The sequence below is a fragment of the Homo sapiens genome, chromosome 5, assembly GCF_000001405.40.
Source record: "Homo sapiens chromosome 5, GRCh38.p14 Primary Assembly".
Lineage (NCBI taxonomy): Eukaryota > Metazoa > Chordata > Mammalia > Primates > Hominidae > Homo > Homo sapiens.
In genome coordinates this window covers 35,038,883-35,053,445 of record NC_000005.10, presented here as the reverse complement: position 1 = coordinate 35,053,445, position 14,563 = coordinate 35,038,883, and the positions used below count along the sequence as shown (strand labels likewise).

The window sequence follows — 14,563 nt, the reverse complement described above, 5'->3', positions numbered from 1 at the left end:
CCTGACCTCAGGTGATCCGCCGGCCTCGGCCTCCCAAAGTGCTGAGATTACAGGCGTGAGCCACCATGCCCAGTCCCACTGATGTTTTAATACTGATCTTGCATTCTGTAACCTTACTGAACTCTAATTAACATTCTTATAATTTGTAGGTTTTCTTGGATTTTCAATTTTTACAACGGTATCACCACAAGCTAACAACACTGTTTCTTCTTTTCCAGTCTTTATACCTCTTATGTCTCTTTCTTGATCTATTTTATTGGGCTTCCAGGACAGTGTTAAATAGAAACGTGTTATGGGCATCCTTTCTTCTTCCTGACTTTAGTGAGAATGCTATGAAAAGTTCACTATTACATATAAGGCATCATGTAGGTGTTGTAGAGGGGAAAGGAAAGCTGCCATTTTGCCCTCCGAGGGTTCACTAAAAGTCACTGACAAAAGTTGAATTAATAGGAGAAAAGGCATACAAATTTATTTGATTATAGTTTTATGTGACATGGGAGCCTTCAGAATGAAGACCCAAAGATACAGAGGAAACTGTCCATTTTTATGCTTAGTTTCAACAAAGTACGGACAGCCTTGTAGGAAAATGATTGGACCTAATGCCGACAGACTGAGTGAGAAAACCTAGCAAGGCCTGTCTGTCTAGATTTTTCTTAGCCTCTCTGTGTAGGAATGCCTCTCACCATTCCTTCCTTCTGGGTATGGGGCAGGACCCTCTCTGGAAAGGGGGTCTTATGACCTACAGTCAAACAAGATAGGTCAGGTTATCTACAGTCAGTTTTTACACAGAAAGTCTGGTGTAAAGTTATAGTAATATTTTTAGACTGTAAAGCTGACTTTGGGGCAAGAGGGTTCCAGTTTCCATGACCTGCCTTGGGGAAGTGAGATTCCAGTTTCTATGGCCAGGCTCTGGAGAGAATGAGGGACCAGACAGGAGGGCAGCAGGTCAAAGAGAACTGCTGCTGGGCCCCTACAATTTTTCAGATACCCTTAGTTATGTGAAAGATATGCCTTTATATTTCTAGTTTGCTAACAATTTTTTATCTTAACTGATTTTAAAACTTCTCAAATTTTTTTCTACATCTATTGATATGTTCACATGGCTTTTCTCTGTTAATTAATGTGTAACTTATTACAGAAAATTATTTTAGAGAGTATATTTTAAGGTTAAAGTACCCTTGCATTCTTGAGATGAACCTCACTTATACATGAAGTATTTTTGCAAACATTATTAGGTTCAATTTGCTAAACTTTTATTTAGGATTTTTGCATTAATGAGGTTCATCTTTTTTGCTGCTTAAGATATCGTTTTTGGAGGTGATTTATAAGTAAGTTAAAATCTTCTAGGATTAAGTAAGTTTCTATTTATTATAATTCTATCAGTTTTTGCTTTATATATTTTGAAGCTGTATTATTGGGCGTATATAGATTTAAATGTTCAATCCTCCAAATAAATTATTCTTTTCATTGTTACATACAATCCCCTTTATTTATAATGGTCACGTTTGTCTTAAAACCTATTTTTTCTGATACTGATATTGCTAATTTGGATTTTCCTGGGAGTGGTAATTCTCTGGTAAGTTTCTTTTCATTCCTTTACTTCCTAATTGTTCTGTGTCATTATGTTTTAGGTGTGTCTTTTAAAAACAGCATAAGCTAGATTTTGTTTTCTTCTGGTTGAGAATATTTTCCTTTTGGTGGCTAAACAGTTCTCTCCTTCTCATTTGATGCACCCTTCCTTCATTTTTCTTTTGCAATTTGAATTATTTAAATCAGCCAATTCTGTAATAATCACTATAGTAACAGGATATAATTAAAGGTCCTTGTAATTAAAGATCCTTGTGAGATAATTCACTGTAACTGAGAGCCCTAAGCTTGGGAATAGCTCTTCCCCCATACAGGAACAATCCCAGTCATAGTGAACCAGACTCTAAGGATTCTCATCTCACTGTGATTGAAAACAATAATTAAGCCTTGATTGTAAAGTTCAAGAGAATGAACAACTAGAAAATCCCAACTGCTGAGAGAAGGGCCTATGCTCAAAAAGATTTTGCCATACATTTTACCAAAAAGAGATTGAGTTGTATTTTCAGGATCTCCCATTTAAACACAAATCTTCCCCACATAAATTATCTGTCAATCATTCTACCACATACATTATTGAATAATACTTGAACACTGTATGCCAGGCACTGTGCCAGGTATGCAGTTAGCAGTACGGATGTGCTCTCCAGCCTCTTGGGGATTACAGTCTAGTGGGAAGGCTAAGGTAATCCATGTGTCCCTAGCTTTCTCCAGAATGTTACTTCCTAAAACACGGTAAGTCCAATAATTCCGATGAGACATGTTCAAAGAGTCCTAATAAATAAACAAAAGGACTTTGACCTTGCATTATTTTTCAAGAAAATCAGTTTTCCATGAAATTCTAAGGGTTACAGTATCTGAGCCGCATCTTTAAGCAGTTATTCTCTTCTTACACATCTGCTAATCTCTGCACCTCAGTCTGAACACTCTGCACACAGCATTCTTCATAATCCATTAACTGTGAAATGGAACACCTGTAATATGAAGTTTCATGTAAATTGTATAAATTTATCTGAAATCCTTCCAAAACAATTTTCCTTTCCTTCAATTTCACAACTCCTAAATTAGTTAAGAGAGGGAAAGAATTACTTTGGAAAAGCTGTTAATTATCTTCAGAGCCTTACTGGACTCTATTATTGACAGAGGCCTGGGGCAGAGCAAAGTTCAGTTACACTCAGGACTTAACTGATAAATCACTGGTGAACCTGTGTGCAAAAATCCTCCCCGATAATTACTAACATGACAACAGAATTTCCAAGTTTCCCCATTTGTGAAGTATTTTTTTCAAGGAGAAATTTCTATATTTTCCTACTTGATGAAAGGCTTCTCCCCTGCTATTTACCATTTGTGCAAACTGAGATAGTTCTTCATCTTCTCTAGTCTTATGTAAAATGGAGAATATTATACCTGATCTGCTCAAAGGAGAGAGAAGAGAGACTCAGCAGGTGTCACTTATAAGTCAGAAATAATATCTGTTTAATTGGAGTTTTATCTGTGAAGGTAGGGTAGGATCTTGGATTGATATTCCAAATGACTCCTAGGCTGAGAATGAAGTTCTAGAGGCAGTCTAAGTTTCCTCTTCATCCCAGTTTTCAGATTTTGTGGACATCACGTAATTCCTCAGAGTTCAAAAGAACAAACATCTTAGAATATAGTTTTGTCCGGCCGGGCGCAGTGGCTCATGCCTGTAATCCCAGCACTTTGGGAGGCCAAGGCGGGCGGATCACCTGAGGTCAGGAGTTCGAGACCAGCCTCAACATGGAGAAACCCCGTCTCTATTAAAAATACAAAATTAGCTGGGCATGGAGTAGCTGTAATCCCAGCTACTTGGGAGGCTGAGGCAGGAGAATTGCTTGAACCTGGGAGGCGGAGGTTGCGGTGAGCCAAGATCATGCCATTGCACTCCAGCCTGGGCAACAAGTGCGAAACTCTGTCTCAAAAAAAAAAAAAAAAAAAAAGAATGTAGTTTCGTGCAATGTTAGTTTAGTTGAATTATAAATTGATGTCATCTTACTGAGATGCATTTAAAATGTACACACATTTTGACCTAGGAATCCTTCTTCAAGGAACTTATCTGAAGAAAAAAATAATTAGTCAAGTACAGAAAATTCTCTGTCCTAGGATGCTAGAGAAAATACAGCTATCCATCAAAAGGAACTTATTAAACAAAAAATATGAAGACTTTCAGTTTCTGAAACAGCATGTGTATACACAGATAGACACATGTAGAGAAAGATTTCTGAAAGGAAATTTACTGAAATATAATGGTCAGGTTTGTTGTGATCTTTTTCTTTCTTCTTTATGCAATTCTAGGCTTGAGTTTGTTTAACAGAAGTACATATTATGTTATGGTAATCCGAATAATTTATTTTCTTTTTAAATAAAAGAGGTATAACCTCCCACTTTCCCTCTAGAAGTTATTCAGAATGTACTGTTTTTCTTCCCCACTCCAGGTGACCCCTTGATGTTGGGTGCCTCTCATTACAAAAATCTCAAATCTTACAGACCAAGAAAAATCTCAAGTCAAGGAAGACTTGCGGTGTTCACAAAGGCAACATTGACCACAGTCCAGTAGAGCTGAAGAGCATATACCAGAATTCAGGAACTCAACATTTTCTCCCCTCTGTCCAACCACAGGACAGACTGTGCACCCCAGGGAGATGCTGTGTGTCCACTGGCCTCACTGACTTGGATTACTCCTGCAGCACGTGACCAGCCAGCTCATATGATCACTCCCTACTGCCCCCAAAGCAGAATTGACTGGGAGCTGGAAACCCACACAAAAAGGGACAATTATATTGAATGTAACATACTCCCTCTGCTTACCTAGTGCCTTCACCTCCTATGGGCATTTGGAGTAAAAGGTTGTTATGCAGGTGTTTGTGAAGGATGTGGCCAAGTCAGTTGTCTCCCTTACAGGGTGACCCAAGATTAATGATATCTACCCATCCCCAGTCCCTCGACCCCCTAGTTGCAATCAGCTTTGTCACTGTCCCCCTTAGGCACTGCCATGTAAAGCACGTGGTCCCCCATTCTGAAGCAGTGGGAAACCTAGAAGAGATGTACTCTTCGCAACCTGGTTGGATCTTAAAAACATGGTTCTAACTGAAAAGAAAAAAGACATATTACACATATTTACATAAATTAAAACTGCATTCACCCTAAACAATACACATTTTACAAGAATGCGTTCCAACAAAAGGATATATATAAGCATGCTAAATACTTGCTTATGGGGATTGAAGGTAAGGGGAGGCTGGAGTGGGATAAATAGGAATTTAAGAAATAATGAAAATAAGGCACACTAACTCCTTAGCTCTCAACCTTTTGCCTTCCTCAGACACATAAGATGATCCACAGCTGTCCAGAACCTTACCTAGCTATTTGGTACTCTCAGCTTTTCTTTGGAATGGCTCCTTCCCCATTGTTTTCTCCTCTCTTTCTCTAAGACCCCCAAAACCAATTTATTTGTTCATTCACTTCATGCATATCTTCCTTTTTCCTCTCTTAGTCACATACCTCGTTTCACAATCTCCGACCCCTTCAACCATGTCCTGATCCTTCTCCCACACCCAGCACCACCCTCCTGCAGAGAAAAGTGTACCCGGATGAAACTCCGATGGAATATTAAACTAACAGAACTTGTCAGATGACCTTTGCTTTATCTGCCTGCTTTCTTTCCTCTTCCCTTCTGTTCTCTTCTTTTCCTTTCTTTTCTCTCCTCTTCTCTCTCTCCTTCCTATTTTCATTCTATCTCTTTTCCTCACTCTCTTTTTCTCCCCCTTGAAGGCACTGTTACTAGAAATAGAGAGCTCTGGGGCTTGCCTGAAGCCATGGGCAGTCACCACTCCAGGATTCCCCTTTTAGCGCCTCCTCCCCATCTTAATCTCAAAGTCCAGCAGGATAGTGAGCAGTTAGAGCCCGGCCTCCAATCTGCTTCCATGGGGGTTGGCTTTCTGAGTGGGAGAAATGACTCTAATCTGGAGACATTTGCTGAGACCCTTGTGCCTGGTCACTTCCGCTCCCAGGATCCTTGAGATGCATCCTTTCCTGAGCCGTAAGTGGAAACCAGGGGGACGTGGGTCAGTAGAGGATCAGCGAGAGGGTAAGACTTGAGCTCCGAAGGCTGCTGCCTGGGATTCTGGAATGTTAGACCTGGGTGAGGTCTTAGAGATGAGGCATGTTTTTGACACACAGGTTCTCACCCTGAGTCAATGCCCCATTTTCATAGCCAATATTTTGTAATGCTCCTTTTTGTTTTGAAATGAAATTCGTGGATAATGAAACCCGACTATACACAATTTCAACATGACATGCTATCTCAGCTTCAATATTTTTAAAAACCAAAGGAAAGCAATCAAAATAGAGTGTGACTTCAATTTACAGATGCCCAAGGATGATTTCTATTTTTTCTTTTTTGAGACAGGGTCTCCCTCTGTCACCTAGGTTGGAGTACAGTGGTGTGATCATGGTTCACTGCAGCCTTGACCTCCAAGGCTCAAATAATTCTCCCACCTCAGCCTCCTGAGTAGCTGGAACTATAGGCACATGCCACCATGCCTAGCTATTTTTCTTTTTTAACTTTTGTAGACATGGGGTTTTACTATGTTGCTCAAGTTGGTCTCGAACTCCCGGGCTCAAGCAATCCTCTCACTTCAGTCTTTCAAAGTGCTCGGATTGCAGGCCTAAGCCATTGCACCAGGCTAGGATGACTATTTTAAAAGATGTAAAGCATCTGCATGAATTTTCATCATGCCTCTAGGAAGTGAGACCACGCTCTCAATTGCCAACAAGTGCTGTGATTCACCCAGAGTCATCCAAGCCAGGGCTTGACCCCAGGCCCTCCCCATCTACTCAGACTCTCCTCTCTGCAGCAAGAACAGAAAATATGAGGAGATGTGGGGTAACCAGACATTGGTGGCTTTATGAGTAATATCCTATATGCTTGTGATTTTCACATGGATCTTGTTTCACGAGAGCCTCACCTCCTCCTCAGCAAATTCCCTCATGCAAACATGAGATTAAGCAACTGTCTGTACATTTATGTGCCTGTGCTTCACGGGCCGTAAACAGGTACAGGGGACCATTTTACATTCCCCATTGTGACCAACTTTGCCTTCATTTTCTCCTCATATTTCCCTTTCACCCTCCTTCCTTCCTCTCCTCTTCGCTTTCTTACCCCTGAAAATTGCAGTTTTTTGAAACTTGACACATGCATGATGCTTTAAATGCATTATCTCCTTTTATCTTCAACCAAACTTGTTAGTGAGTACTATTATCTCATTCCACAAATGAGGAGACAAGAGAATAAGGAATATCTAAGAAATGTGGTCAAAGGCAGAAACATGTATGTGATAACTTGGGATTCAAAGCCAGGTCTATCTGACTCCGAACTCGAAGAGATTCTACCAGGCCCTGTCTATCCTCCCCTAGTCTTCCAATCCTGTTTGGACTGCTCTTTTCCCTTGGTCATGAGTTTCTTTTGCCAGAACATCACCTAACTCCAACATTTTCTCAGAAGCAGGTAAAATTATAACCAGTCTTATGCTCAGTGAGGAGGAAATTATGCTGAAAGTACCAGCTGTTGACCTAGCAAGAGAAATGCCCTAGACTGCCCCCTCCCCTTCCCTACCCCAACCTCTGAACATTGTGGAGTTGCACAGTGGAGCAGCAGGTAACCTAGAGAGGGCAGGTGAGGCCTAGTACCTAGAGATCTTGAGCAACTCGTTGGCGACGCCTTACCATAGGCCCAGCAAGGACACTACAGGGAAGCAGTCTTGGAAAACCACACCACTGGCCGGGTGCGGTGGCTCACACCTCTAATCCCAGCACTTTGTGAGGCTGAGGCGGGCGGATCACGAGGTCAGGAGATCGAGACCATCCTGGCTAACACGGGGAAACCCTGTCTGTACTAAAAGTACAAAAAATTAGTCGGGCATGGTGGCGAACGCCTGTAGTTCCAGCTACTCAGGAGGCTGAGGCAGGAGAATGGCTTGAACCCGGGAGTCGGAGCTTGCAGTGAGCGGAGATTGCGCCACTGCACTCCAGCCTGGGCGACAGAGTGAGACTCCTTCTCAAAAAAAAAAAAAAAAAAAAAGAAAAAAGAAAAAGAAAAAAACCACACTACCTAGACTGAATGCTATCCTCATCACCTGGCCTTGCAAAAACCTTTGGGACTTTTATGTCTACTTTCTTACCTACTCTACCTAGGTCTGTGCCTGTTTGTGCTTGCTCATCCAAACACACACTCACTAACATACATTTATTGAGCACCTGCCATGTGCAATATATACATTCAGGCAAAATATTTGAGCATCTATTATGCACCAGTGCTGCAGACTTAGCCACAATAAGCAAGAAAAAGCTCCTGCCCTCTATTCCAGGAAGGAGATAGACATAAATGAATAAGTAAATATGTAAAAATATATATGTGTGTGAATATGTATGTATTTATGTATGTATCCAATAGAGACACATGCCATGAATAAAACCAAATCTGGAAAGGGAATAGAAAAATATAATGGGGGTGAGGGGAGGGGCTGTGATAGGGAGGTCACCACGTTTTAAGTGTTGTTTTATATGCAAAAATAAATAAGTCACAATTCTTGTATAGTATCTACATAGTTACTGTACAATATTCATATGCATAAAATGTTCAGCTTTGTTTACACTTTGATATGCACAATCACTTTGGGCTAACTGTGTATACAAAGTTATGGAAGCAATTTGTTTTCAGTACAAAAGTGTGGAGAAATATCTCAGTGGGGCATTCTTTCCTACAATTAGCTAATGACTGAAATATATAACATTTGCAGGTGGCTGGGGTATGTGCTCCCATGTACCAATTTCCTAATATATGCCTGCTCTCCCACAAAGGAAGGAGGGCACAAAAAGTCATCTATTTCCAGCTGAGATGTTTCTCCATTCCTGCCAAGCCTATTTTAAGAAAACATTTAAAATTTGCCCTAAAGGGGGGCCTCCCATCTACACCCCTCCAGGCAGCCTTGCCACAGTCAGAACTGATTTAACACATGCCAAGGGCCAGGAAGGGTGATCACAGAGAATGCCTACTCCCGAACGTGCGGAAGAAGACCCACCCACCTCAGAATCAGGAATCGAGGAGTGCTCTTGCTTGTGGACAGCCACAACTGCCCCTGTGTGGCTTCAGCAAAAGGGCATATACTGGAAGGTTATGAAGGAATGGAGGGAAGGAGGGAGGGCAGCTGAAATAATCAACAGGAGGCTGAGGACGTGGACAGGACCCCACACGCAAAGAAGCCAAGGAAGGCCAGGCAGGAGTAGAGTAACTTCTGGTAGGAACCGCCTCTTAGCAGCTTTGCTTAGCGGATGCAGGCACCTGGCATTCACTGCCATCATCCTTGCACCCAGAGCACGCATGGGACAGAGGGGACCTCCACAGAGAAGGCTGTGAGAGATCATGTCCGGAGCGGATGATACCGAACAGCAATGGTGAGGGTCCTCAGCAGCGTGCTGCAGACTGCGGCCCCATGTGTGAAGAGAAAACGACCACTCTGGAGTCTCCAAGCTGGCAGCTCCAGCACAGAGAAGCAGAGGAGAAAAATTTCTCTACCGACCAGACACTGTCCCTCAGGCGTCCAAACCCCAACACAGCTTCAGCAGGCCTCCATGGGAGGCAGTGTCTCAAACGTCAATATCAGTGAGGGACTTCAAAACTGCCAAGGCCTCGAATTCCATCTGTCACTGATGTCCTCTAAGGTGGATGGAGGATGAAATCTTCCTTTCCTAACTCGTTGGCAATCCCAAGTATCAAATGAGATTGCAAATGTGACAAGGTTTTTTTCAAGTTACCTAAGATGCTATACAGAAATGAGATACAATTGGCATTTTGGGCCAGGCTTAGTGGTTCACGCCTGTAATCACAACACTTCCAGAGGCCAAGGCAGACAGATGGCTTGATCTCACAAGTTTGAGATCAGCCTGGGCAATCTGGAGAAACCCGATCTCTACTAAAAATACAAAACACTAGCCGGGTGTGGTGGCATGCCCCTATGGTCCCAGCTACTAAGGAGGCTGAGATAGAAGGATCGCTTGAGCCTGAGAGGTAGAGGTTGCAATGAGCAGAGATTCCACCACTGCACTCCATGTAAGACCCCATGTCTATTAAAAGTAGGAAAAGAAAAATAGCTGGGCATGGTGGCTGGTGCCTATGGTTCCAGCTACTCAAGAGGCTGAGGTGGGAGAATTGTTTGAGCCTGGGAGGCCGAGGCTACAGTAAGCCATGCTCACACCACTGTACTCCAGCCTGGGTGACAGAAGGAGATCCTGTCTCAAAAAAGAAAAAAAGAAAGAAATCATCCCTGGGCATCTGTAAATTAAAGCCATAATTTATTTTGAAAGCTTTTCTTTGATTTTTAAAATTATTGCAGCTGAGATAGCATGTCATTATTTTCACACATTATATGAGCATTGGGCAACAGAGCCAGACCTGTCTCAGTAATAATAATAATTAGCATTTTAATAAATCACACTGTGTCCACTGCATATTTTCAAATATTTTAGAATCTTTTTTTCATTTTAAAGGGTGAGGAAGCCCTTAATAAATACTCCCTCTGGGCTGAAAACTGGTTGTGAATACTGAAAAACTCGTTATCATTACAAAGAGAATTTTCCCTAGAGTTTCCAAATGCCAAAAAAATTTGATTTTTCTCATTTACTTTGCCCAACAGTTTTTGTCATTCGATATTATGATTTTGGGGAAAGAAAATAAAGTTGCAGTGAACTGTCTGCTATAGAACTCTGTGAGAATTAGGCAGCTTGGAAATGAAAGCTCACTAGTTACCCACTTGGCATTTATTATGCAAAAGCGATGCTGTTCTCCAAATTGAATTCCATCTTTCAATGTCTCAAGTTGCTCATGTGAATTGAAGTGAAAACTGGTGAATTGGATGAAAATCATTAGCTGTCGTCTGGTTAGCCTAAAAAGGCACTATCCGATTAGTTAAAACAATAAGACAAAACAAAACAAATACCTATTCAGAAATAGACCTTGGATATAGTTTTATTAATCCTAATCTCATTCATTCCTTCCCCTCCACCTCCATCTCTTACACACACACACACACACACACACACACACACACACAGGTATGCATATGCATATATACACATACACACTTTCCAGGAGCCCCCAAAAAAGCTTTATGAACCCTCAACTCTTACATCATCCTCAAAACACAGGCTATTTTGAATAAAAATTGCATGCAATTATCTAGATAGATTTTCATTTTTTTTCTGGCAAATAATAAAAACCAAAGTAGTTTTGTTTCTTTCTGTCCATCAAATATCAACATTATTACTATTATTTTTGAGTTTTAGTTATTTATTAAGAGGAGTGATATGACAGTCAATAGATTTGGAGGTATTATCCAGGTTTATTTCACTTACTGACTCCTATTATTCTTTCTCCTACTTGCTCATTACTGTCTCTATTTCTTCCTTCCTCTTTCTTCTTTCTTTCCTCCTTCTTTCCTTTCTTCCTCTTCTTTCTTCCTTGCAGAATTTCACGTATTTCATTTGAAGCCCTCACTCCACCATCATGTGCTTATGACTTTTGTGAATAAATGAATGAATAAAACTGCCTTGACTGTTTAAAATTCAAGCTTTTCTTTGTCAAGTATTTCTCTCCAACTCCCTTCCCCCTCCAGCCTACTTTCATAAATCCTATAACCTTGGAGTCAAGACAGCTTACAACCTCCTCAATGGGCAACTCCAATTTTGCAGATAGAAAAATGAGACTGAAGAAACGAAAGGATTTTTGAATTCTTAGAGACACTCAGAATTTTTTTTCCATCTCAGAAGCACAACGAATGCAGAGAGACACAATGAAAAGCTTTTTAAAAGGTGAAATTCTCAGAAAACTAAAGCTATCAATTTTTTTGGTCCTTTCTATGCATGGATAACCAAAAGTCACTTGCTTTTCAAGTAAAAGCAAATTAATGACATTAGTGATTATATATCTCTTTGAAATATATATCTCTTTGAATATATCTCTTTGAAAGAAGATATATTCAGAACTGTTACTTTCCATCTTCATTTAAAAACACAATTGTTCATTATGTTTCTCAGGACTGTGACTTCATAGCCACACAAAGCACTAACACTTCTTTCATGCATTCAAACCTTCATGCTGAGAAAGAGACATAATTTCCTTAGCTCTCTCCACCTATAAAATTATCTTAATGTTGACCTTCAGTCTTCAAAATTAGGAGCATCTTTCCTAGGAGTACTTATAAGGTCTCTAGACAACTCTTCCAGCTCTGACGTTCTGATTCCATTATTCCATCCCACTGCTGCAGGGGGGCCAAAGTCTGTGCTGGCAGGGAAGGGTGGAAATGGTTGAGGAATGAGCAAAACAGACTACTGGGCTAGGAGTCAGAGGAGTTTTGTTCCCGTTCTTCACCTAACTAGCTTGATAACCTTAAACAGATTAATTTACCACTTTACGCTGGTTTCCTTATCTATAAAGTATGCATTTTGACACACACACACACACAAATGTAAGGTCCCTCCTAGCTCCAAATATTTAATGAATCTGGTTCAGCTTATCCCTGTTTCATCACAGTCTTATGTTGGCAGCCTTTTTTTTTTTTTTTTTTTGGCGGGGGGAGGTTTTGTCTTCTGGGTCTATTTGCATGTATTTATTAGTCTAGTATATTGTCTAACACCTGCCTCTCCTCATTCCCTACAAGAATAGTCAACAGTCATTAATGCCGTGTGTATTGAGAGCTAACCAGGTACCAGGCACTGGCTACACACTAGAATTCAGGCACTAGGCAGCTTGAAGCCTAAAAAGCACCTCTATTAACAGGGGATGGACTCCAACAACGCATTGCACTAGCAGAAGTTTTGCCTACTGATGAGAGAATCGACACGGTGAGGGTAACATGGAGAGTTTGCCTAAACTGAGCCTCCCAAGTTTGTGAGGGACTGCCGTAGATTTTTTTTCCAGACTATATTTGAGAAGAACTATTTTTTTCCTCCAGAAAACTCATTATTGAGATACTCAGATTTTAAATCCAAACTAAAAGCTGATTAGCATGATTTTTTAACTAAGAAATAAAATTATCTAAGCAGTTTTATTTGGATAACTATAGGTGACTTTCACAAACAGACCTATGTCATGCTTAGTTGAGGATTCTAACTCACTTCACTTTCAGTAGGTACTTCCCGGACATCAGTAACCAAGCTCAGTCTTCATACAAAGCCCAGAATGCCTCCATGTGACTTCATGCCTGAAAGATACCAGGTGAGATTCAGGGCTTTAAGAAAACTCAAAGAGGTAGTTTCTCTGGGGAGGTCTCAAATGATTGTTTCCTTAAGAATGACACAAAAATAGCCCTGCTTGCCACTAAACTACCTCATTCCAGATATTGTACCTCTAAGTCATTGGAAGCATCTGAAACCCTCTTAATCCCTTAATGCTAGTGTATAAATTGGTGTCCATGTGTGAGAGATAGAGACACAGACAGAGGCAAAGAAAGTACAAGAAGCACACTACACATGATAATTAATATATGTACTGCAGGGAGATATACACACATCACAAATGTGATGGCACACATAGGCTTTAAAGTAAATGTTGCTCCTGTTTTAACTGACTCATGTGGCCATCTGACCTTCCTGGGTACTCCAGCAAAAATTATAGTTATATTTTTGTTCTCAGGCTAATAAAAATTCAGCTGGCATTTTCTCTCTTACTTTCTCTCTCTTTCTTTCTTTCTCTCTCTTTCTTTCTCCCTCTCTCTCTCTCTCTCTCTGTTATGCATGCACACGTGCATGCACACACACACGGCAACTCCTTTATTCGACATGATACTTACAGGTTAGAAATTGTAGAATCAATAGGTATTTATGAGGGATCCACAAAGAAGAGAAATACAGGAGAGATATTTTATAAATAAAGATACAAACACGACTAGCACTTCATTGTATTTTAATTTTTTAAAACACTACCACAACAAAAATGACTTATTAGTTCAGACTAATTGCTTATTAGTTCAGACATTTACTTCCGAAGTCTATTTTTTTCATAGTTAAAATCAACTCAGAGCCAAGGCTTTTCATTGCTAGGTAGAAATTCCAGCCCTTTTCTGAAAAGAGATCGAAAGGCTACAAATAATAATTCACCTCCTTAAGAGAAAAGGCTTTAATTTCTTGCAGGGACGATATTGGGTAAGTACACGCACTTCTGAGCCTCTACAGGCCAGCAGCCCTCTTCTCTGTCCACTAGAGAGCCTGGGCTCTGTTACTCATAGATTGACTGCTATTGATCTTGTAAGAAGTGTGTGGGTTTAAATCTTGTTTATCTACAGTCCCTTGGCTACAACCGTGTCCTGGAAATCCACAAGGAACATCTTTCTCCTGTGGTGACGGCATATTTCCAGAAACCCCTGCTGCTCCACCAGGGGCACATGGAGTGGCTCTTTGATGCTGAAGGAAGCAGATACCTGGATTTCTTTTCCGGGATTGTTACTGTCAGTGTTGGCCATTGCCACCCGTGAGTATCCTTAAAATCTGGAGATTTTTATTCCAAAAGAATGCATGGAAAACAATTATGTTAGTGACTCTGAACTCTTGATTTGCTTATCTTGGTTTAAAAATATCTATGACAGATTGTGGCTGACATACTCCCTGCTATTTCCTGAGTACAAAATCTTGACACCCTTACTTTTCCTTTCTTGACAATGCAAGATTTTGTTATTCTCATGGCACATGTAGTGTGGCATGTACCATGTGACTGGAGTCTTGCTGTGTGTGTTTCTCATTAGCAACAGCTTTCCAAAGAGAGGGGTGCATTCAGGGAAAGGAAGAGAAAGGCAGGCGGCTCTCAGAGAAACACATGACAGGCTTGTCAGGCGAGGGATGATGAGAGATGAGAAATAACTTCTAGCCTAGAGAATCTTCTTCATGGCCTCTGAGAGATGGAAGAGGAAAAGAA

At 40.8% G+C, this 14,563-nt stretch overlaps 2 protein-coding genes across 10 annotated transcripts in view; both read left to right on the top strand.

Annotated features, from left to right (window-relative positions):
• The window catches only part of PRLR (prolactin receptor), a 181,732-nt gene extending 177,042 nt beyond the window's left edge, over positions 1–4,690 (top strand). For all 4 annotated transcript variants that reach the window (NR_037910.1, NM_001204318.1, NM_001204317.1 and 1 more), the window contains one exon: positions 4,038–4,690. Coding sequence is in view for 3 of the 4 variants with exons in the window: in NM_001204318.1 (NP_001191247.1) it covers positions 4,038–4,159 (122 nt within the window). In the remaining variant the exon portion in view is untranslated. The remainder of the gene's footprint in view (positions 1–4,037) is intronic.
• Positions 5,497–14,563, top strand: part of AGXT2 (alanine--glyoxylate aminotransferase 2) — a 49,848-nt gene continuing 40,781 nt past the window's right edge. For 4 of the 6 annotated variants that reach the window (NM_001438584.1, NM_001306173.2, NM_001438050.1 and 1 more), the window contains exons 1-3: positions 5,497–5,641; positions 12,783–12,871; positions 13,938–14,122. In NM_001438584.1, coding sequence (NP_001425513.1) covers positions 5,554–5,641; positions 12,783–12,871; positions 13,938–14,122 — 362 coding nt within the window. In that variant the 5' untranslated portion in view covers positions 5,497–5,553. The remainder of the gene's footprint in view (positions 5,642–12,782; positions 12,872–13,937; positions 14,123–14,563) is intronic. The other 2 variants (NM_001438583.1, NM_001438585.1) reach the window with 2 other exon arrangements.